At 48.9% G+C, this 24024-nt stretch overlaps 1 protein-coding gene and 1 pseudogene across 3 annotated transcripts in view; one reads left to right on the forward strand and one right to left on the reverse strand.

Annotated features, from left to right (window-relative positions):
* Positions 1-21079, forward strand: part of ADCY1 (adenylate cyclase 1) — a 148977-nt gene extending 127898 nt beyond the window's left edge. The window contains exons 15-20 of one of the 2 annotated variants that reach the window (NM_021116.4): positions 1339-1455; positions 1563-1709; positions 2481-2579; positions 6313-6427; positions 8491-8615; positions 11656-21079. In NM_021116.4, coding sequence (NP_066939.1) covers positions 1339-1455; positions 1563-1709; positions 2481-2579; positions 6313-6427; positions 8491-8615; positions 11656-11958 — 906 coding nt within the window. In that variant the 3' untranslated portion in view covers positions 11959-21079. The remainder of the gene's footprint in view (positions 1-1338; positions 1456-1562; positions 1710-2480; positions 2580-6312; positions 6428-8490; positions 8616-11655) is intronic. The other variant, XM_005249584.4, reaches the window with a different exon arrangement.
* The window catches only part of SEPTIN7P2 (septin 7 pseudogene 2), a 45232-nt pseudogene continuing 42957 nt past the window's right edge, over positions 21750-24024 (reverse strand). The window contains exon 13 of the transcript NR_024271.1: positions 21750-22443. The product of NR_024271.1 is annotated as a septin 7 pseudogene 2 (transcript). The remainder of the gene's footprint in view (positions 22444-24024) is intronic.

Consider the following 24024-nt stretch of genomic DNA (forward strand, 5'->3'; position numbering starts at 1 on the left):
CCTGCCTGGCTTCACACACACCCCCATCCTCGTACCTGGCCCTCAAGGCTCGGGGCCTCGTCATCTCTATCCTTAGAAATCTCCACTTCTCTGTTTTAACTGGTGGAATCACTGTGTGCAGTCTAGCGGCATATTCGTGGCCAGCTCAGCTCTGATAATATCAGTACTGCCAGAAAGCAGCTGTGCTCTTTAGGCTTAACTAAGGGGCATGCTGTCCCCTCAGCCCTTGTTAAGTACAACCCTACAAGTGTTCCCTCTAACAGTGGGTGTGTTACACCCATTTTACAATAAGGAAACCACGGCACAGTGAGGCTGCATCTGCTGGCCGGGTCACCAGCCACCTAGGGGGACCTGAACCAGGGGAGCTGGCTTCCAAACCATGGCTTGTGGTGGCCAGGCCATGGGCCGCTCCGCAAGGGCAATCATTGCACAGTTTTTACTACATTCAAGAGTTTGATGCCTCCATAAATGCTGACACATACTTAGAGTATTCCCCAAGCTTCACTCCTTTCAGGAGTTGGGTTCTGTGTGAGGAAACACAGGGACCCTGGTGGCTTCTGCCTCCTAGGGCTGTGCTGGGTCCTGCCAAGAGCACTTCTTGAGCCCTCACAGTGGTCTGTGAATGAGGCCTTTGCTGTCAGCTTAATCAGTCTCTGCAGGGTCCTACAGCTAGCAGTAAGCAGGCTGGGACTCACCTGCTCCTGCCATCTGCTCTGCCGTGTCCTCTCCCCATGGTGGGACCCTTTGGGTCTTTACTCTTTGCCCCAGGGGGCTGGAAGTCGGCACTCAGATGAGCTCATTGGCCCTGGATCTGCCCCTGCCCTAGGTCCCTGCAGGGTTCTACTTGCCTCAATGCCCAGAGGGATGTGGCTCTAGTGAAGACCAGAGAGATTCCAGAGGAAACAGGAGCCTTAGGAAGGTGTCTGCCCCACCTGGGTGTGAGGCATTCTAGGACAGGTGCCCTGCGGGGCACATCAGGAGCTGCCTGGGGGCTGGTGGAGCCTGTGGATGGGCACATGCCTGAGAAAGAGTTGCTGTAGCATCTGGTCCCTAAGGGGTGGCGGAGGGCAGGGCGGACCCTGGAAATGAGGTGAAGCCATAGTTTGTCCTTTGGACATTCTAGCAGATGAGGTGGTGACTTAGGCAGACATCTGCAGATCTTCCCTACCCAGTAACATGGATCTAGTCTTGCATCTAGTGGGGAGGAGGGACAGGAGCGTGGATGTAGACCATCAGCACACCTGGAGTCCAGTTTGGATGATTAGAAGGAAGTGTGCGGTGGGAACAAGTGAAGGCAGCGTGAGTGGATGGGACTAATGGAGGCTCATGATACCCCAGGCAGAGGAGGAGCGAGAGGACATGGAGAAGGTGAAGCTGGACAACAGGCGCATCCTCTTCAACCTCCTGCCGGCCCACGTCGCCCAGCACTTCCTCATGTCCAACCCTCGGAACATGGTGAGCACCCAGCCTGCTCCTGGCCAGCACTAGCCCTACACTGCTCTGGCCACCCCACTTGGCGCTCACCTGGCTGACCCTTCCTGACCCATCCTTTGAACTTCCAGGACCTCTACTACCAGTCCTACTCCCAGGTGGGCGTCATGTTTGCCTCCATCCCCAACTTCAATGACTTCTACATCGAGCTGGACGGCAACAACATGGGGGTGGAGTGTCTGCGGCTTCTCAACGAGATCATCGCCGACTTTGACGAGGTGAGGCTGTGCGTCGCCATCCTGACCCCGCCTGGTTGTGGTGGTGCATCCTGTTGCGTGGGCAGAGCGTGTCTCACAATATGTCACATTCTTCGTAGCTGGAATGAGAGAAAGCAAATCCCGGGAAGCACAGGCATTCTGTCTCCTTTGGGATCCAGACCAACCATGACAGGAGAGAAGGGGGTCTTGACTCTAGGTTGGGGGACCAGGGCCACTGGGTGGGGCTGGGTGTTTGTTGTCCATGTTGTAAATGTCAGGGCTGGGACATCTACAGTGGCCAGGGCTGGGCAGCCTCATCTACAGATGGGCAGGCAGGTGGGTGCCTCCAGGCCCTTGTCTACAGATGGACAGGCAGGCGGGCACCCTTGTCTACAGATGGGCAGGCAGGTGGGCACCTCCAGGCCCTTGTCTACAGATGGGCAGGCAGGCACGCACCCTTGTCTACAGATGGGCAGACAGGTGGGTGCCTCCAGGCCCCCCCCACCCCGACAGCCAGCCAGGCACTGTGGCAGCCCCACCACGCCTTGTCATTGGACCTGATTCTCCTGGTGGCTGCGAGCTCACCTGTTGGGGACAGGAATGTGTCCTGTACTGTCCTGCCTCACCTCTTCTTGCCAGTGTAGTCCTAGAACTTGTCTGCCCAAAGCAAAGAAGACATGTTGCTTTCCTGAATGTGTCCATCGGCTCTGCTGTTGCTCCTGGGGGCTGACGGCTGCAGCGACTTTTCTCAAATGTTATGTCATGTTTAACAGTTTTATGTTTTAAACAAAGCTCATGGAAAAAGACTTTTACAAGGACATAGAGAAGATCAAGACCATCGGGAGCACCTACATGGCCGCTGTGGGGCTAGCGCCCACCTCGGGGACCAAGGTGAGTGCAGCCTGGCGCTGCCTGCTTGGGGACTGGGTCCAAGCTCTGCCCTAAACTGCTCTGGGACCCTGGGTAGCTTCCACACTGGGGTTTGTTTGCCCTCTGTGTTGGATTACAGGAGCAGCTTGAGTGCTGTTTTTGTCCGTGGCTGGCTCTCTCCAGACACAATCTCCTAGGGAAAGTCAGCACAGAAGGCACCGGAGCTTCCTCCAGCCCCAGCCCTGCCCTGCTAGACACCTCCCCCTAGAACCCTCACCCTGCCCCTGCTCCATTACCTCCCGCACTGGCCCACCTCCTCAGCAGCCCAGTCCCTCCCCCACCAGCCCCCACCTTCCTCCCTGCTTGCCCCTCTCTTCTCCTCCCATCAGCCTTGCACTCTCCTTTTCCACAGTAGAACTATGAATAAATACAAATAATTATTCTGAATAGGTCTAGATTTATTAAAGAAGTTGAATCAATAATTAATAATCTTCTGAAAGAGAAAGCACCAGATTGAGATACATACACTGGTGAATTCTACCAAATATTTAAGGAAGAAATTACACCAGTTCTCTACAATCTCTTCCAGAAGACAGAAGCAGAAGGAACACTTTCTAACTCATTCTGTAGGCCAGCATTACCTGAATACCAGACCCAGACAAAGACGTAATAGAAAAAGAAAATTACAGACCAATATTTCTCATTAATATAGATGTATAAACCCCCAACAAATATTAGCACATTGAATTCAATAATGAATGGAAAGAATTATATACTAAAACTGCATTGGATTTTTTCCAGATATACAAGGCTGTTTTAGTATTCCAAAATTAATTCATGAAATTTCATCAAATCAACAGGATAAAGAAGAAAAATTATATAATCGTATCAATTGATGCAGAAAAATTATTTAAGTCTAACACCCATTCCTGGTTTTTTAAAAAAACTCTCAGTGAACTGGCAATAGAAGACAACACCTCAGTTTGATTTAAAAAATTTTGCAAAATACCCATAGCTTGATATACCTAATGGAGGGAAACTAAATGCTCTCTAAGATGAGAAGCATGGCGAGAATATCCTCTCTCACCATTTCTATTCAACATTTTACTGGAAGGCAGTAAGACAAGAAAGAAAACAGAAGGCATACAGACTGAGAAGGAATCTGCTTGCAGATGACATGACTATACGTAGAAAATGCAGAAGAATTAACAACAGCAATAACAGAAAAAAGCCCCTGGAACTAAGAAGCAATTATAGTAAGGTTCCAGGATATAAATTGAATATATAAAAGCTCATCATTTTTCTGTATGCCAGCAATGAACAATTGGAATTTGCAATTACAAACAAAATGCCATTTATAGTAGTAGCCAAAAAATGAAATACTAGGTATAACTCTAACAAACTATGTACAAGATCTATATGAGCAAAACTATAAAATTCTGATGGAAGAAATGAAAGATCTAAGTAATTGGGGAGTCAGTGTTCCTGCATCGGAGGAGTCAGTATTGTTAAGATGGCAGTTCTTCCCAATTTGATTTATAGATTTAACACAAGTCCAATCGGAACTCCACCACCATATTCTGTGTCGTTGACAAAATGATCCTAAGTTTTTATGGAAAGTAAAAAGACACAGAATAGTCAACACAATATTGAAGCAGAAGGACAAAGCTGGAGGACTGACACTACCCAACTTCAAGACTTACAAAGCTGTAGTAATCAAGACAGCGTGGTATTGGCAAAAGAATAGGCAAATAGATCAGTGCAACAGACTAGGGAGCCCAGAAATAGACCCATAGACATATAGTCAACTGGTTTTTGGCAAAGGAGCAGTAGCAATACCATGGAGAAAGGATAGTCTCTTCAACAAACAGTGCTGAAACAACTGGACATCACATGCAAAAAAAAAAAAAAAAAAAAAGAATATAGATGCAGACTTTACACCCCTCACAAAAATTAACTCAAAATTGATAATAAGCCTAAATGTAAAATGCAAAACTACAAAACTTTTAGAAGATAACATAGAAGAAAAATCTAGATGACCTTCAGTTTGGCAATGACTTTTTAAATACAATACCAAAAGCATGATTCATGAAAGAAAAAATTGGTAAGTTGGACTTCATGAAAATTAAAAACTCCTACTCTGTGAAAAATATTGTTTAGAGAATGAAAAGTCAAGTCACAGATTAGTAGAAAATCTTTGCAAGCCACCTATCTGATAAAGGACTTGTATCTATAGTACACAAAGAGCCATTACAATTCAACAAGGGAGAAAAAAAAACCCCAGTTAAAAAGTGGGCAAACAATTCGAACAGGCACCTCACCAAAAGAGATGCAGATGACAGATAGGCATATGAAAGGATGCTCAGCATTGTATGTTTTTAGGGCTTTGCAAATGAAAACAACAATAAAATATCACTAGATACCTGTTAGAAGGGCTGCAATCCAAAACACTGACAAGACAAATGCCGGTGAGGATGTGGAGCAACAGAAACTCTCCTTCATTGCTGGTGGGAATGCAATCTAGGACACCCACTGTGGGAGAGAGTTTGGTGGTTTCTCACAAAGTTAGACATAATGTTACCATATGATCCAGCAATTGCACTTTTGGTATATATCCAAATGAAATGAGAACTTATGTCCATGAGTATTCATAGCAGCTTTATTCATAATAAAAACTGGAAGCAAACTAGGTATCCTTCAGTAGGTGAATGGATAAAGAAATTTGGTATATCCATAAGGTAGAATATTATTAAGTGAGAAGAAATGAGCTATTAAGTTATGAAAAGACATGGAGAAGCCTTAAATACAATTGGCTACATAAACCAGTCTGAAAAGGTTACATACTGTATGATTCCAGCTGTATGAAATTCTGGAAAAGGCAAAACGGTAGAGACTGTAAAAGGATTAGTGGTTGCTGGGGGTTGGGGGAAAGGTGGAATGAACAGACAGCAGGGAGGATTTTCAGGGCAGTGAAACTGTTGTATGTAATACTGTCATAGTGGATAAATGTCATGCATTTAGAATGCATAGAATGGACAATACCAAGAGTGAACCCTAATTAAATTATGTACTTTGGTTAATAATATCAATATTGGTTCATCAGTTGTAACAAATGTGTCACACTTAGGTAAGATGTTAACAATAGGCGAAACTGTGGGGAGAAGGGATATATGACAATTCTGTATAATCTGCTCAACTTACCTATAAACCTAAAATTGCCCTAAAAATAAAGTCTGTTAATTTTTAAAAAGCATTAGTTTCCTGATTGTGAGAACTAATAAAATTCCCTTTAAAAATAAAAATTAGAGACTTTACAACTGTTACTGTTTCACAAGAGAAAGGACCTTGTCACACACATACATGACGATGTAGCCTCAATCTCAAGGAGGGAAATTGCCTACTCCCTGGCATGCATCTCTGTCCTTGTTTTGCTCATTTGCAATGGCCATTAGCAACGCTGTCCAAGCAGGAGTTTGAGCACCTGGTCTCCCACTCAAAAGGGCTGCCCTGCCCTATTCCTGCAGGCAGCCTTGGGTGGGCCCTGTCTCTGCCCCTCAGGAGCCCCTGGGGCTTGGCCAATACCCTGCCTCTCTCTTAGTCTCCTACCTGTAGAATGGAATGATAAATGTGCCTATAGCCAGGCACTCAGAGTGCCTTCCTCTGAAAGTGCAGCTGTTGGGCACTGCAGGTTGGTCCCTGGCCCCCTCTTGCCTTGCACTCCCCAGATGTAATGACCCCATCTGTTTACACCTAGGCTAAGAAGTCCATCTCCTCCCACCTGAGCACGCTGGCGGACTTTGCCATTGAGATGTTTGACGTTCTGGATGAAATCAACTACCAGTCTTACAACGACTTTGTCCTCCGAGTTGGTATGTGGCTCTAAACCTATCCTGTCCATCCATGTGGAACACCTTCCTACACCCACCTAGGGGTGGGATCAGCTGATGAGGTACCCTGGTCTTACAGGAAGGAGGGTGGTGCCACCCAGGAGGGCATGGGGACCTGTGTACCGAGTTGCCCCTGGAAGCTGCTGGTGGAAGGTGAAGATGCTTCAGAAAGTGACTTAGACTTTGAAGATTCATTGTCTAGCTCAGGAAACACATTAGAAATCTTGATTGTCCTGGAGACGTTCAGATGCTCCTCCAAGTCCACACTTAGCTGAAGTAAAATGCCCTTTTCCCTGTTCGCCAGCCACGGCTACATAGTTGAGGCCACATGGGCTGTCCAGAAGGAGGCCTTGACGGGAGCCCCACTGTGCGGACTCCAGCCGCCCTGTGTCTTCTCCAGGCTCCTTCCCTCACCTGTGTCGTGAGGAGGAAAAACCATTGGATGCCCCAGTTCCTTTCTAGCTTTTATAAAACTATGATTTGTTGTTTTTTTTTTTAATCATAAATTCACTTTTTCTTGAGATGTAGACAGTTTACCAGAAATAAATTCTACTAGTCCAGGATACAGTTAAACTAGAGGTTCATGGTTGTTTTCGAATTCAAACATCCAGTAGCCTTAAAAACAAAACTTGGAGCTGCTTGTGAGTGTGAAGGGTGGTAGGTGATCCATTTAGAGCATGTGGAGTTCTGATGTCCTGAAAAGCAAGCTCGGCTTTAGGCATGGTGTCTGGGCAGAGGGCAGGGGCAGAGTGAGCCAGCTGGGCCCTGGGCTCTGGTCGGCAGAGCTACTGATGTGCCTGAAAATCAATCTGATGGTGGGTCGGGGAAATTCTGCTCCTCACTTTCCAATGACAAGACCAGCTGGCAAGCCCAGCCCTGTGTCTCAGTGTCTGGTCATGCAGTGGGGCTGGACAAGGATCTCTCGGGGCCCTTCTGCCCATCAGGCCGGTGCTAGCCTAGTGTTCTTTATGTGGGTGGGGAGTCTGGGGTTAGCAGAGGGTGCTCCCTAACTCCCACCAGCTCCAGCCATCTGGGAAGTGGTCCTTTGGGGTTCTTCTCTGAGTTTACCATGCCCACCTTCCCCAGCTCACACCACTGTGCCGCCTGCTCTCAGGCTCCTCCTATGCCATGCCAGCTCCCCACTGCCCAGGATGTCAGAGGAATTTTCTAGGACAAGCTCAGAAAAATTAGTCCACAAGTATGGAAGGGGAAGATAGGAAGTGGCTTCGGTCGAGGCCAGAAAGCCCCAGTTGCAGGAGGTGGCTGCCAGCAGGCTGTAACAGGAGAGCTGACAGCATGCTTGGTCCCCCTCTGTCCTGCCGAGGACGGGCCAGGCGTCACAGCCTGGTATGTGCCCTACTTACAGGGAAGGAAGTCCAGGCTCAGAGAGGGTGAGTGCTTTGCAGAAAGTTGCACAAGGGGTGACTCAAGTTCGGGTGTGCCTGGGTTGTCACGATGCTGTCCAGCTGGTCTGCAGCTGTCCGGAGGCCAGTTGGACACTGAGCTACAAAAAGAGAAGATACTCCCTCTCCTCCCTTCAGAGCATTCTGCACCATCTTGCTTAGTTATGGGGCCCATACTCTAAAATAGCCATAAGGTCACATTCTGAGAAAAGGTCCGGAGCTGCTATTTTTCTGGAAGAGAGGATGCACTTGGAGACATACCCTGTAATCACAGATATTGAAAGGCCACACTTCTGAGTGGCTCCCCTGGTAGGGCTCAGCACAGAGGCTGCTATTCCAGGAAAGGGGACTTTTATTTAGGATCAGGACTCGTTTTGAACAGCCAGTGCTGTTCCCCAGTGCAGTGGACAGTGTCGTGAGGAGACCCTGCCCAGGGGAGCCCGTGCAGCAGGGCAGCTGCCTCTCTGGTGCTGTGTGTGATGCTTCAGGAAGGAGCCTGGTGCTAGGTGACCCCAGGAAACAAAGCCCTGAAAGGAGCAGCCTTTTCTCCACCAGGAGCAGCATCAGGTGCATTTGGTGGCCCTGGTGGGGTGAGTTACACTTTTCCCGCTGATGACAGGTCATGCGCTGGCTGTTTTCTAGGCATCAATGTTGGCCCTGTGGTGGCTGGAGTGATTGGCGCTCGCAGGCCCCAGTACGACATCTGGGGAAACACAGTCAACGTGGCCAGTCGGATGGATAGCACAGGGGTCCAGGGCAGAATCCAGGTCAGTTCACCAAGAAACCCCTAAGGCATGGGTGCCCATTCTTCAGGTGAGGAAACTGAGGCACAGGGGGCCAGAATTGAATCCCCAGTCTACAGCCCGTAAGTGGCAGGGCAGAAAGAGCTGCATATTTCGGTCTGTCTGCTCTGGAGGGCATCCTGGCCCGGGCATCTTGATTTTGCTGTTTGGTTTGTCATTTAGCCTTGGGGGCTGGCTCCTGAGTGACCAAGTGCAGTGGTGGGAGCACTGAGTCACTGGGTCCTGCTGCTGGTCCCAGCAGCCTGGTGGCTCTCATTCACTCTGCACATCCCAGGACTCCGGACTCCACCAGCTGCCATAGGAAGGAAGGGCTTTCTTGTGTGTTTGAAGGGAGGGTGCTGTGCATGTCCACCTCATCTGAGGAACTTGTGGGCAGCTGAGGTGGCCTGACACATGGTGGCTGACACCCTCTAAAAGCCATGGAAAGGTTTAGAAGGCAGCAGCCTCTGCTTTTCCTCAGTGTGGAGGAATGTGGTTCGGCTTCTGGGATTTCCCTTGGAACAAATTTGAAACTTGACTCGGTCTTGATGACCACCAGGATGAAGCCCTTAAAACTAAGATGGAGATTGTGAGGGGCCACACAGCCCTGCAGCCACCCTCGCTGGGAACTGCAGGCCTCCAGAGGCCATGGAGGGAAGGCTTGGTCCCCAGGCACGTGACAGCAGCTATTCACGGGGGCAGTTTAAGGGACAGGTAGGCCAAAATATTCATGGAGCTCTCCTCTCCTGCTCAAAACATAGATGGGGCTTCCATGGAGCAGTGCTGCACTTCTGCATTCTCTTTTTTAAAATTTCTTTTATCACAGTAAGGTATACATTGAATTTGTCATCTTTTTTCTAGGTGTACGGTTGAGTGGCATTAAATATATTTACATGGTTGTGCAGCCATCACCACCATCCACCTCCAGAACTTCGTGCTGTATATATATATATATATATATATATATATATATATATACACACACACACGTATGTATACACATATACACATATATACACACACATATATGTATATATACATATATGTGTGTATATACATATATGTGTGTATATATACGTGTGTGTATATACATATATGTGTATATATACAGCATGAAGTGTAAATATATATACTTATACTTTTTTACAATGTACTTTTAAAATATACAATATTTAAATATTAATATTAATTTTATTAATATATATTAAATATATAAATATATTTATATATTATATTAAATATATAAATATATTATATATTATATTAAATATATAAATACATATTATATTAAATATATAAATACATATTATATTAAATATATATTTTATATATTATATTAAATATATATTTTATATATTATACTAAATATATATTTTATATAATATATTAAATATATATTTTATATATTATATTAAATATATAATATATTTTATAATTTTATAATTTTATAAATTTTTATATTTAAAATTTTTATTTTAAATTATTTTAAATTTTAAATATTTTATAATTTTATTTAAATAATAAAATTAAATGTTAAATATATTAAATTAATATTAAATATATAAATATATATATACTTACACCTTTTTTTTTTTACAGTGTACTTTTTTTTACAATGACTGTATCCTGCACCCTTCTGCAGGATTCCCCCAAAACTGGACTTGCCAGGGGAGAACTTCATGGGAGCCCCATCCTGCCCACCCCAGCCTGGCCCCTGCCCCAAACCAACATTGCATTTTTAAGTTTCTAAAATCAGATCTGGGCCTGCCACTGTCCTATTTTGCCCCTGCCTAACACACAGACTGTTCACTGGTGGCCTCTGTCCAATCCCCAGCCAGGTGTCTCCTGGCTGCCCAGGATATCACCCTTGCACTCACAGGGCCTCTGTCCTCCCTCCCCTGCTTGGGCTTCCTACCACCCCTGCCACACTGACGGGGGCCAGCCTCCCCAACTCTGGGTATTAGAAGGTGGGATTGGCATGGATTTGGTTCTTTTAACAAACGATGCCAGGGTTTGAATGGACTGTGTGTGTGGGAGAGTGAGGAGCAGCCAGGGAGATAGGGAGGAAGAGAGGAAGTTCCAAGATCACACCTCCAACATAACGCAGAGATACCAGTCATGTCCTCTGTTCACAGGACTCATTGCATTTAGTAGAAACTATTTTCTCATCCTTTATCTTTTTCCTAACTTTGTGAAGCAGAAATTCTTTGAGCTAGAATACTGGTTGCGAACCTGTCAAGAAATGTCTCTGTTTTCTCTGGACAGTTTGCCTGCTGCCCTCCGTATGCTGGTCCCTCCCTCCCCTGACTCAGGGTTGCAGAGGCAGCTATGCCGGGGTCCTGTGAACTGGCTGGTTTGCACCCCCACCGACACCATGCTGCTGCCCCCAGCAGTGAGTTGGAAGTCAGGCTTTGCCCTAGACTCTACTCTTTGCTGCCCCTTCCAGCTGAGGGGGGTACCTTCTGCCCCCTACATTCTGTATGCCCTACTTGTAAATGTCCCTGGCTGTTGAGGTGCCAAGAGTCCTGAACCCAGAGAGTCTACCCTACTCTTCTCTGTTCTAGCATCTGGAGCTGGGTCCCACACAGCCTCTGGCATGGAGTGCATGGAGCCACCATGGAAGCTCACATCCAGACCCTGGTGCTAGGTCCCTACAAGCAAGCCCTGCCCCACTGCCTGCCTGTCTGGGTGCTTCCTGGGCCACCCTTTCTGGCTCAGTGAACATTGCCTCCTCCTATTGTCCAGGGAACAGGCAGTGAGACTCCCCTGGGGCTGGCCCCTTAGACTCCTCCGAGTCCGCTGGGTTGTCTTTGCAGGGCTGTGTCTTTTTTAACATAGTGACCCAAGTGATTTCAGCAAGAGTAGGGGCCCTGGCTGCCAGGCTGAGCTGGGAAAGCCACATCCCAGTGCCAGGGTTGGGCAGTCAGGGTGGACAGCAACAGATGCAGGATGGAGTGTTTTGGTCTCTTCCCAGAGGAGTCCCCCTCATTGCCCTGAAGTAACACTCACTTCTCTCCATCAACAGGTGACTGAGGAAGTCCACCGGCTGCTGAGAAGGTGCCCCTACCACTTTGTGTGCCGAGGCAAAGTCAGTGTCAAGGGCAAAGGCGAGATGTTGACATACTTTCTAGAAGGCAGGACTGATGGAAACGGCTCCCAAATCAGGTCCCTGGGCTTGGATCGGAAAATGTGTCCATTTGGGAGAGCTGGCCTTCAGGGCAGACGTCCCCCCGTGTGCCCCATGCCTGGCGTCTCAGTCAGGGCTGGGCTCCCTCCACACTCCCCAGGCCAGTACCTGCCCTCTGCAGCAGCTGGGAAGGAGGCTTAGTGGAGCCCACGTGGGCCTCTGGGGTGCACATGGGGTGGGAATGCTCCGGGGGTGACACAGGCCACGGTGGCTCCAGCCAGGACCAGCCAGACCAGCAGAGCAGGGAGCCACTTGCCAGGGTGGAGGAGGAGCATTGTCCAGGCATGGCCTGTGGCCCGAGGGCCAACCACCGAGCAGGCACAGCACAGCAGTGACTCGGTGAGGGGAGGACACCCGACTGTGCACACTTCCAGGCCTCCCTGGAGAGGTGTCCACTCCATCCTTCCCTCCGTGGCGTAGGGAGCACTGTTTCTTTCCAGCAAGCCTGTTCAGGTTTGGCCAGGTCGGCATCAATGTAAGGACCTTCAGAGCATCCCAGGGTTACAGCAAGAGCCACTGAGGTGTGGCTGGCAGAGCAACTGAGGAGCTCTGCGAGAGTGTGCCCTCTGAGACAGCCCTGTCCGCCCCGCCCAGGTGGGACCTGACATACAGGCGGCTCCAGCCCTGGGCAGCGGCTTCAAGAGCCAGAGTGGGAAGTCAGGCCTCTCTGGGAAGGTCACAAGGCCTGGGGTTGTTCACACCACAGGCACAATACAGAGCTGTCCACTCTTGAACTGGACCGTCTGGGGAGAATTGAGAAGCTGCCTCTCACTGCATGGATAGTGGTGGCTGCTGGCTTTCAAGCGTGGTTTTTTGCTAAGAGCCAGAGGCAGGTCTTCTGGAGTTCTCAGGGGGGCCCTGTGACCCCCTCTCCACAACCATGGCCAGCATCGGCTTCTTGCTGCACCTGTGCATTCTCCACCCCTCCGCCAATGGCTTCCAGCTCCTAAAACACCTGGACATTCCCCATCCTGCACCGGCACTGTGTTTGTTCAGAGAAAACGAAGGGTGTCATTTCTTCTTTTCCCTGTGGCATCGTGGATCCTTTACATTTAGCAACAACAGTGTGAGGCTCCACTTCTGTTGAATATGAGCGGCTGTCACACCCATGAGCAAGTTTCCTTGATGGAAGATGCTGTTTCTCCGGCAGAACCAACCCTCCAGGACGAAGTTTCAGAATTGGCTGATGGTCGTGAGTGCAGGTGTCCCTGTTGTAATTTGCAGGGAAATTGACTGCAGGTGATAGTGTTGACGTCTGACGTCTGACAACCTCCTATGTGCATGTCTAAATAGTCACAATGAAGATGAAAATAAGGATGATGGGGACGGGGTCCAGGAGGGCCACTGGGAAGGCACTATCCAGAAATAGTGGACAGAGGTCTGGCATGTGGAAACCTTGGATCTCGGTCACAGGGAGGAAGGCAGCTAGAAATGGGAGGGAAGCTTCTGGGTAGGCACCATAGTAGGGGAATGTCTAAAGACCCACTGCTCTGAGATGTGGTCAGAGAGGTTTCTGTGGACTGCAGATGAGGCCTGAGCCCTGCCTATGCTCAAAGCCAGCAGGGTTGGGGGTCCGCCTCCTCACTGCTCCTCAACAGCTGTAACCCTTTCCTGAGGGCCCCGACTTTTCAGAATAGGAGCAGAGAGAAGCCCAGACTTCCTTCCCTGGAGTGTAGACCTGTGTGTGGGACCTGCTCCAGGCTGATCCCTGTCCGCACAGGTGGGTGATGTCCTTGGCTGCTGCCGTCAGAGGCAGCCCCCTGCACAGGGAGGGGCTGATCCTGCCTCAGCTGTGTGGCCATGTGGGGGCAGCAGGGGCCTGGGCCATAGCTGGGGGAGGCCAGACCCTGAGGGCTTTGCAGGGCGGCCAGTGCAGTGATGCCTGGCGCTTCCAGCTGAGACAGGAGTCCGGACAGAGGTGGGCAGGGTGGATGGCTTCGGGCAGGGAAGGCGGGTAGAGGCTGCATGTGGGGGCCCCTGTCTGCCTGTCCTTAGGGTGTGGATTAGGCTCTGGCTTCTGTGATGGTGCAAGAGGCAGGATGGTCTCCAGACACCTTCTTGCAGAGTGATTTTGACCAATGCCTTTCCAGCACCTTCCCCTGGTTATGACAGGGAGCTCCCAGGCCAGGCCACATGACCCCACAGGTAGGCTGACCCCATGGACCCACTGGAGACTTTGAGGGCAGAGCTCGGGCACCTTTCATCTTCCTTGGGTGGTCCTCATGTCGCTGTCCGCTCATGTTCCTGGTGTTCTGGCATCACCTTGTGCCGGTGGGGGCTGGGCTCCCGTGAGGTCCTAGGGCAGAAGGAGGTGCTTGCAGGGCCTCTCGCTGCTACTGGGACATCCACAGGACCTAATGTTTATGTGGAATCTCCAGGCTGCCATCGAGGGCTCCTGAGCTCATCCTGAGGACCCAGGGTCCATCTGAGCTGGCTGTGGGCTGAGATCCTGGCTGGGGCCCTGCTGTCAACCTCTCCTCCAGGCCCTGCCTTGTCCCTGCTCCTGTGCTTTCCTCTCTTCAGGACAAATGGTTTGTCCTTATGGTCCCCTTTCCACTAGGATTTTCTCATCCTCATCTGTCTATCCCAGCCGGATTTAAAGCAGTCACTTCAGACAGGAGCCACAGGGAGCCTGTGAGGGAGTAGTGCGGTGGTGGTGAGTGTGGCTGCCCTGGCTCCCCCAGCTCACCGTGGTGCTGTCCTTGACCCACGAGCTGTTGAGAAGGGTGCAGAGCCCCTGGCACAGCCAACCCTGTTGCCCCCAGTGCCGCTGCCCAGCTTCGGCCATCCAGGTGGTGGGTAGACAGAGGAGTGAACCCCAAAGGTGTCCATGCCCCAGTTCTAAGCCCTGTGGCCAGGTGCTGTCACACAGCAAAGGGGACTTTGCAGGTGGAATTAGGGTTAGGGATCTAAGGATGGGAGGGGAACTTGGTTTATCTGGGTGGGCTCAGTGACCCCTTGGAATGGCTGAGGGAGGCAGGAGAGCCTGGAAAGATTCGAAGTGTCACAGAGATGGTGCCGTCATTGCTGGCTTAAAGACAAGGGGCCAGGAGCCAACACCAGAGGCCACTCCACAACCCCAGCGCCAGTCAGCAAGGAAGCCGGGTGTCGCTCACACAACCAGAAGGAGCTGAGTTTGGCAACAACCCAAGTGAGCCTGAAGCAGATTCGCCCCAGAGCCTCCAGGCGTGAGTGGAGCCCAGTCCAGCGACACCTTGGTTTGGCCTGTGAGACTGAGAAGAGAGCCAGCCACGCCATGCTGTGCCTGGGGTCCACAGAGCCGGGAGGTCACACATGTACATCCTGGAAGCTGCCCAAGGTGTGGCCACTTGTAGGGCAGTGAGAGGAAGCCGTCGCGGGGACCATGCTGCCTTCTCTGGGCTCACGACTGTTCTGGAAAGGACCCCATGGCAGACTTGGCAAGGTCTCCACTTCAGGGGCAAACATCTCCATCATCAGCAACTCCAAACCCCAGCCACTTCCTGGGAGTTCAGGAACTGTGTTTAGCCATAATGTCCCTTGGGGTTTGGTGAAAAACAACTTCCTTTTTATTTGTGGGAAAACTGTATTATATTGCCTTATTTATTTTTAATCATGTACAATATTCATGTACAAATGTTAGAGCCATTCGGGTAGGATTCTCTCTAAATTATTTATTGAAGAGGCTTTGTAAATAGTGCACCAGTGACAGGTGCTGCCTGTTTACTCGTACCAAAAATGAAGACAAGCCCCACACCCACCTCAGCCCTTGCTTGGCCATGCTGTGGCCCTTTGGAAATGACCCTGTGTGCTCCCCTCGCGACCCTTGCATGCCTTTCATGCCTGATGCCGTAGAGTAGAACACAGCCCCGGAATGCTTCCAGTTGCTTGCAAGGGACCATGCCGGCCCGGGTGGTCCATGCCTGCGGGGTGTCTGTATCCTGCAGGAGGACGCCCCTACAGACCCAGCAACCCAAGTTGCCAGCCCGTGTTTCTCAGACTTTAAAGCCACCAGGGCTTCTGGAACACCTGTCATAGAAGCAATAACTCTAACTCTATACTGTAGAGATGAGTCTGGTCCGAAGCAGATTAGTAATTTAGAGATAAGCCATGCATACAAGTTTGCCCCATTCTCTGGCTTGGGGTGGTGGGAGGCGGGGAGCTGCCACTCCCAAAGCCTCCACCCCTTCCTGAAGACCCAGCTATGAAACCGCAGTTCCTGTGGGTTGGGCTGCCCAGGCTGGTCAGAGCTCAGCACCCCAGGTCTGGTGAGCAGACAGAGCCGGCGTTAAACCCCGATCAGGTCATTGTCACCACACCCTTGCTTGGATGAGGAAGGAAGGAGGCAAAGGCACCCACTCCATCCAAGATCCGTTCCAATTGATGAGCCTCAGTACTGGCCTCACACTGACCAACGGTGGTATGCTGCAGTTTGTTGGTTTGGTGCAGAGTCTAAAGGATAACATATCAAGGCTTACCTGTGATAGGCCATTTTAAGGAAATGGTGGCACTCTGAAGGCTGTCCCCATTCACCTTCCACAATGCTGGTACCATCCTGGTAGAAGAGCCCTCTGAACAGGACACCTGTTCAGGCCTGGGGGCCCCATGCTAGGCTTGCCTGGGTGTGAGAAGGTCGAACTGGGTGGCTTAGGCCTTCAAATTGAGCTTGGGGGTGTCCAAGAGAGGGGTCTTATTCGAGGAACTCACATACCCCAAATAACCATCAGTGCACAAATCATTCCATGCTCTTTGGCACCAGGCAGGAGATGCTGCAGGCAGGTGTCCGTAGTTGGCAAAAATGGGCAGTAGGGGAAATGGAGTTGCTTCAACCTTTCTCAGTCCCGGCCCTCACTGCACCCACCAAGTCAAGCAGAGCTGGGTGGGCTGAGACCAGCATCCCAGCTGGACTGAGCCTGGGGGGAGGGGCTGGAGCCAAGGAGCCCCCCTGGGTGGGGGCATCAGGAGCAGGGGCAGGGCCTGAGGACTGCTCCCCCTGCATGGAGGGCAGGCCAGGATGGAGCCCAGGGTAGACTTTGAGGAAGGCTCAGTGGGCTCAGCAGAAGGAAGGCTCTTCTCATAGTTGTGGTTTTTCACAGATGGATTTGGGTGATCTGAGTGTGGTCAGGCCCTGCCGTTGGGGAATGAATGCCACACGGGGTTTGTCTGTAAGCTGCAGTGTCTGTGATTCTGTGTGAACTGACAGCAGGGAGCTGAAGGACAGGCCCCGGCCTTGGGAGAGGACACGGGCATGGGCTGCTGGATGCAGGGCTCCCAGGGCTGTGAAGGCAGAGGGGTCTCTGGAGGCAGACAGGGTGGGCTGGGGGCCAGCAGCAGGGGGCAGAGCCCCAGCCAGGGCAGCTGCTTCCTGCACATAGACATTCCTCCTGCGCAGGGCCAAGTGCCCATGAGCACAGCCCCAGACAGACACGGTGGGGAGCTTGGAGCCCTCCGCTCACCTAGAGGAGCCCTGGGACACGCACTGGAAAGTATTCTAGGGGCTTCCTGCCTTATCCTTCTGTTTGTTCATACACTTAGTGAAAGCAGATCCTGTACTAGGATGTGAGGATATCTGTCACCTGCGTGGTCCATTCCATAAACACCAGATTCCATTTCAGTTGCCACACATTTTGGGGCTAGACTTCCCTAAACAACATGCCATTGTGAAATAATGCATATATTTGTATTTTTAAATTTCCCTGAAAATTTAATCTATTCTGTTCCATATGAAGTCTGTTTCACTACCTTAAAAAATAGATACTCCACTAGAGGCTGTGCTTAATTCAAATCCATGTGTGTGCCTGCATTACATGTGTGAACACGTGTTTCTGTCGTGTGTGTCATGCACATCTGTGTGTTGCATAGCATAAGCCAAATGAAAATCATTTGTTCATGGGATTCATATGAGGAACAAAATTAAATTTGAATACAGTCAGATAACTGCCACGCAGGGCATTTGGGGAACCATCCCCGAATGCCCTGATGTGATTTCCCTCAGAAAATCCTTGTTATTAGAGGAGAAGGTCTGGGCAGGGGCAGCAGCATCTCAGACATCAAGTCAACTTTATCATCTACTACATCAGCACTGAAGTCCAGGGGCATTGAGGCACTAACTAGGTTCCATTTTCTTTGGTTTGGTTACTTATTTTTTCTTTTTGGGTTCTCGGTGTGCAGAGGCTGTAGAGAGAGCCTCAGGGCGGTGACCGCTGCAGGAATTCGGCCCTCCAGCTCCCCTCCAGTTACCAGGAGCCGATTTGGAGGCCAGGCCTTCCCAGCTGAGTGTCTGTCAGCTTCATTCTCTCTCAGCTGTGCAGTGGAAGAGCAACAACAGACAGGTGACCTTCTTGGGTTGTGCTTCACAATGGACTGGGAAAAACATCTTTGAAATCAGGAAATCAGGCCGGGCGCAGTGGCTCATGCCTGTAAGCCCAGCACTTTGGGAGGCGGAGGCGGGTGGATCCATTGAGGTCAGGAGCTCAAGACCAGCCTGGTCAACATGGTGAAACCCCGTCTCTACTAAAAATACAAAAAAAAAATTAGCTGGGCGTGTTGGCGGGAGCCTGTAGTCCCAGCTACACGGGAGGCTAAGGTGGGAGAATTGCTTGAACCCGGGAGGCGGAGGTTGCAGTGAGCTGAGATTGCACCATTGCACTCCAGCCTGGGCGACAGAGCAAGACTCTCTCAAAAAAAAAAAAAAAAGAAAGAAAGAAATCAGAAAATCGACCACAGTGGTAGCCACCTGGCCTAATGCTGTGTTTTTGTACCTGACAGGGGTCACTCATTTTAGGCACAACTCCTTCATTCTTTGTGAAATTAGTGAGTTTCCTTCTACCCGTCACCAGATTCAATATGTTCTATTAATACACCGATAACCACAGGGGAAGGGCACTTGTCGCTCTCCCACCTGGTTACCACAGTCTCCATGGGTCTTTTGCCGTGACCACAAATAAAGGAAACACTCATCACTAGTATCTAAGTCGGGCTTTACAGTAACTATGCACCTTCTGTGTGCTTCACCTCACTCTCTACTTCAAACAGCCCATGGAGGGAGGTATTATTATACTCCTTATGTTGACAGTGAAGAATCTGAGGCCCAGAGAGGTTGGGGACTTGAGTAAAGTCACACAGCCCTGAGAGGCAGGACCAGGGTTCCATTCCTGCTCTATCCAGTTCCAAGCCCTTGTGTTTTCCATTATGTTTAGTGCCTCTTTGCTAACAGCAACATCTGCAAGATTTGTGTTGGTTTTGATGGAGAACTCTAGCTCATCCACATGCTAGTGCCCAAGTGGTGGAGGGGCCACCTCAGCAGGTGGGTTCTGAATGCAGCCAAGGCTGTCCCCGCAATGGGTGAGACTCGCTCCAACTGCCCGCCCTCAGAGCAGGTGCCTAAGTCCTCCCTGGCACTGGCAGGCCTTACCTCACATTGCTAAATTAAAGCAATGCAATTCCTCTTGGGTAAGAGGAATTCCTCCTTCTTTACTAACTGATCCCCAGCAAGGAAATAAAATGTTAGGCTTTAAAAATCCCTACTTTGTCATATCAGACTATATTCTAAAACTATATTTGAGCGAAACCTGTCATTGCGTCTAATTTCAAATATACAGAATCTCCTTAAGAGCTGTTGCCTTATTTTTTTGTAAAGCCTCTCTGACATCAAATGGGGAGAAATGGTGGCACCTCCAGACACCCTGAAACTACACACCATTTCTTCCCTGCTCAGCTTCTGCTCAGGAGTTCTGTGAGCTATGGGAAGGCCATTGGTTGTATTTGCTACTTTTACTTTCATCTTCCTCTGCTGTAGAGCCATTTAATGTTATTGTCATATGCTGCTGGTGAGGTAAAGGTGGGTCCGGGTGCCTTCCCAGGGGTTAGAGGATGTTCAAAGGGCCGATTTCAGCAGGAGTTCAGAGGGCTTATGATGGATGGTGAGAGATTTGACAACCACCAGAGCACATGTGCTCTGACCCTCTCCTGGGCATTGGTTCCTGCTGGTACCGGGCGGTTCAGACCTTCAAATAGGTTGCTTTCAAAAGAGCTTTCAGGCACTTATTGAGAATTAATGTTTAAACAGACATAATAGCCTAGATGAACTCCCAAGAGATCTATTAAATCTTGTGGGCTGAATAAATATCTCGTGCAGGACTGTGCAACAGTAGCCCAGAGCATCCTGCCTGTGGGCATCCACCTCCCAGGTGAGGGCAGTGGGAAGCTGGCCCGACGGCAGCCAGAACTTGTTTCTCACCTCCCACCAGCAACCCCCCACCCAACTCTGGGCCCCAGGCACACGAAGCACAAGTCTCAGGGGACCATTCCCACATTGGGGGATCCTGAGGGAGCCCATCACCGCCTCTTGCATACAACTGTCCACTAGGAGGCACGCCCAGTGTGGGAGAGATGTATGGTCTTGCCTTCCACCTGTAAAAACTGCACATATGCAAGCCATTTGCACTCTGGAACTGCATGCCGTGAAAACTCCTAATGGTGTGGAACTTAGTTTGAATTTGAAATCACGCCGCATGCACAAAGGGACAGGCCCAGGCCCGACCTCAGGTCATCCGCCCGCTGGCTGCAGAGCATCCCTGGGAGCCAAGGCGAGGCCCGTGGAGCCTGAGCTTTGTGTAGCTCGAGCTTTGTGTAGCTCGTGCACTTATTATGCACCACCTCCCTTCAGTCACCACTCCTCTTCCTCCGCCATCCTCATTTATACTGATTGCACACCCCCCGCTCAAACAACAATGTCCTTATTATGATGACCATCTCGTAGTGGTACATTCCATTCCTATTTAAGGTAAGCCCAAAGCCCACTTTTGGATTTTCTCGACTGTCCGAGAAAAGTTGTGTAAGCGCCTGCGTTCTTCTGGGTTTGGCTAGATAGGGTTGTGTCCCTCTATGGAATGGAGAGTGATGTGGGCAAGGGTGTCATTTTCTCGCACAATACAACTCACTGAGGATGCTTCTGTAGAAGTGAGAAACACGATGAGTACATTCAGAATTACAATAACTCACTCTCACTGGGTAACTTCTCATGATAGATTTGTATGATCAATACGGGTCTATTTTTATGTCAACTGAACACTGTAGGGTACCTTCCAGTCTTTTTCAAGATTGTTAAATTGAGACAAGTAATTGAATAATTTGTCCTATTTTTATTTTAAAAAAAGTGAATGGACTGAAATGTTAAATGTGAATGTACATTTCTTAATTGCAACTTTTCTACTGAGTGTTTGCACTATACTTTCTGGAATCTTATTTAACAAAAATAAAGGGAAAAAATTGCTTGACTAAACTCTGTGGCCATTTCAGTTGAAAAATAAATGGTTATGTGGATGTTTTGAAGACATTCCTGCCTGTTTCACATAACTTCTGGGGGAAGTTTTATTATTCAAAGTATTAAATACTACGTGACCCCATTTAGACTAAACCACACATGAACTGTTATCCCCCCATTACATACTATTCTTCTTCTTCTTCTTTCTTTTAGACAGAGTCTGGCTCTGTTGCCCACGCTGGAGTGCAGTGGCGCAATCTCAGCTCACTACAACCTCCGCGTCCTGGGTTCAAGCCATTCTCCTGCCTCAGCCTCCCAAGTAGCTGGGATTACAGGTGCATGCCACCACGCCAGGCTGATTTTTGTATGTTCAGTAGAGACGGGGTTTCACCATGTTGGCCAGGCTGGTCTGGAACTCCTGAGCTCAGGTGATCCACCTGCCTCGGCCTCCCAAAGTGCTGGGATTACAAGTGGGCCCCCGAGCCCAGCCCATTATATGCTATTCCTATCCAGTGTTTTCATCTTGTGCCTTTTTGAATCTCACAATTACATTTTAGATAATATTTAAAATGTAATATAGACTCTCCATTTTACTAGCCTTTCTTGTATCTTAGAATATCTTGCTGAGACAGTATTGCTTTTTTGGTCTCTCAGAAGTTACTGTAGCTCAGGATGCAATGATAAGTTCATTTTACATTCATCTGTAAATACTTTATTTCATTTCCTGTCTTAAAAGATGAAACTGATTACACGATCAGTTGATAATTTTTTTTTAAGTTTGATAATATCCCATTCAAGTTTAGTTGAATGGTGAAGATGGCTTCCATTGTTGTCATTGAAGAATCTTCTGTCTATCGAGTTGTTTTTCCTTTGTGTGTTTTCCTGGGGTTCTTCAAAGAAACAGAACCAAGAGGGCATGTGTGTGCTGTCAGAAAGAGAGAGGGGGCAAAAACAGGACAGAGAATTTATTTTAAGGAATTGGCTTACATGATTGTGGGGCTGGCAAGTCTGAAGTCTATAGGAAAGGCCAGCAGGCTAGAGCCGCAGGGAGGAGGTTATGTTGCTACTTGAGTTGGAAGGCTGTCTGGAGGCAGAATTCCTTCTTCGTTTGGGATCTCAGTCTTTTTTCAAAGGCCTTCAACTAATTGGATAAGGCCCATCCACATTGTGACGGGCTATCTGCCTTACTCAAAGTCTACTGATGACAAATGTTCATCACATCTAAAAGATACCTTCAAAGCAACATCTACTCACAGGGACATCTGCTGCTGTGTTTCACCAAACACTGGGACCCATGGCCCAGCCAAGCACATATAACAACCATCATGAGTGGTCTATAGTTTTTCTCTGATTGTCTCTTCAATTTCAGATGAAATCAGTTCCTTATAGAGAGAAGTTAAAAAAATCATTATGAAGAGAGCAATAGCCCAGTAGAAAAATGTTCAAAAAGCACATACGGAATTATAACCACCTGAATTCTTCCTGCCTGCTGCATAAAGACCATGGCATTATAGTGGAGAAAAAGTTTAAGAGACCCAAGGCTGGTCATGCCACATGGGAGACAGAGTTTGTTCTGGAATCATCTCGTGCTCACAGGTTAGAGGTTTTTCAAAGGCAGTCTGGCAGAAGGGGTGGGGATGGTGAGGTAACAGTTACTTGCTGCTGATTGTATGAAATCACAGGGGGGGTCAGAGCTGTCCTCTAGGCTGAATGGCTTCTGGGTGGAGCCATAGGAGCAGGGTTGGTGGGTCCAAGTAGAGCCATGAGTGTCAGACATGCCAAAAAACCTGAAAAGATACTCTAAGGGCCAATCTACAATAATGGTGTGATTGCAGGGGTAATTGGGGAAGGTGCATATCTTATAACCTCCAGAATAATGGCTGATACTCGTTTATGTCTGCACCTTAGCAGGATCCGGGCTCTCCTCCTTGCCCCCAGCCTGATGGCCTCCCATTAGCTTTACAAAAGCAGCTGAGTTTTGGGGGAGGCCTATTATCATTTAAAGTATAACTTAACTGTCTCTCGGCCAGGCGTGGTGGCTCATGCCTGTAGTCCCAGCACTTTGGGAGGCTGAGGTGGGTGGATCACCTGAGATCAGGTGATGGAGACCAGCCTGGCCAACATGGTGAAACACTGTCTCTACTAAAAATACAAAAAATTAGCCGGGCATGGTGGTGCAAACCTGTAATCCCAGCTACTTTGGAGGCTGAGGCAGTAGAATCACTTGAACCCAGGAGAGAGAGATTGCAGTGAGCCAAGATCATGTCACAGTAGAAAGAAAAGAAAAGAAAAGGGAAGGAAGGAAGGAAGGAAGGAAGGAAGGAAGGAAGGAAGGGAAAAGAGAAAGAAAGAGAAAGAAAAAGAAAGAAAGAGAAAGAAAAAGAAAGAAAGAAAAAGAAAGAATTTTGTCCCAGGAAGAGGGCCGGCCTGATGTGGTTCCAGCAAACTGACACAGGCCAAAGTGTGCATGTTACAGAGAAGATCAGGAGGGTGTCAGGACTTCCAAACACCCTGGAGCAAATTCTGGAGGCCCAGCGGTTGCCATTGATGTGGCAGATCCCAGCATACGAGGAGCAAAGGAGAGATGACCTTCTTCTGGCTCTGAGAGTCCATAACCCTTTGAGGAAGATTAAGCAACAGGCACATTCTCACATTTATTTAATCTTTAACACCCCTACTGGCTAGGTATTGTTAACTGAATATCACAGATGAAGGACCCAAGGCCAGAGAACTAAAGGCTATGCCTGGCCTAATACCTTTTCCACTACAGTGCTCCCTGATGGTGGACTTTCATATCAAAAAAGCACAAACAGTTACAAGCAGTTACAAGCAGTAGCAGTAATAGAAGTAAAAATGATGGCAATAATGCCATGCAATAGAATGCTTATTATATGCCCAGCTGGGTTCTCAGTGTTTGGCGTGTAGCAACTCAGTGAATTTCTGCAACAGCATCATAAAGTAAG

The sequence above is a fragment of the Homo sapiens genome, chromosome 7, assembly GCF_000001405.40.
Source record: "Homo sapiens chromosome 7, GRCh38.p14 Primary Assembly".
NCBI classification, from domain to species: domain Eukaryota; kingdom Metazoa; phylum Chordata; class Mammalia; order Primates; family Hominidae; genus Homo; species Homo sapiens.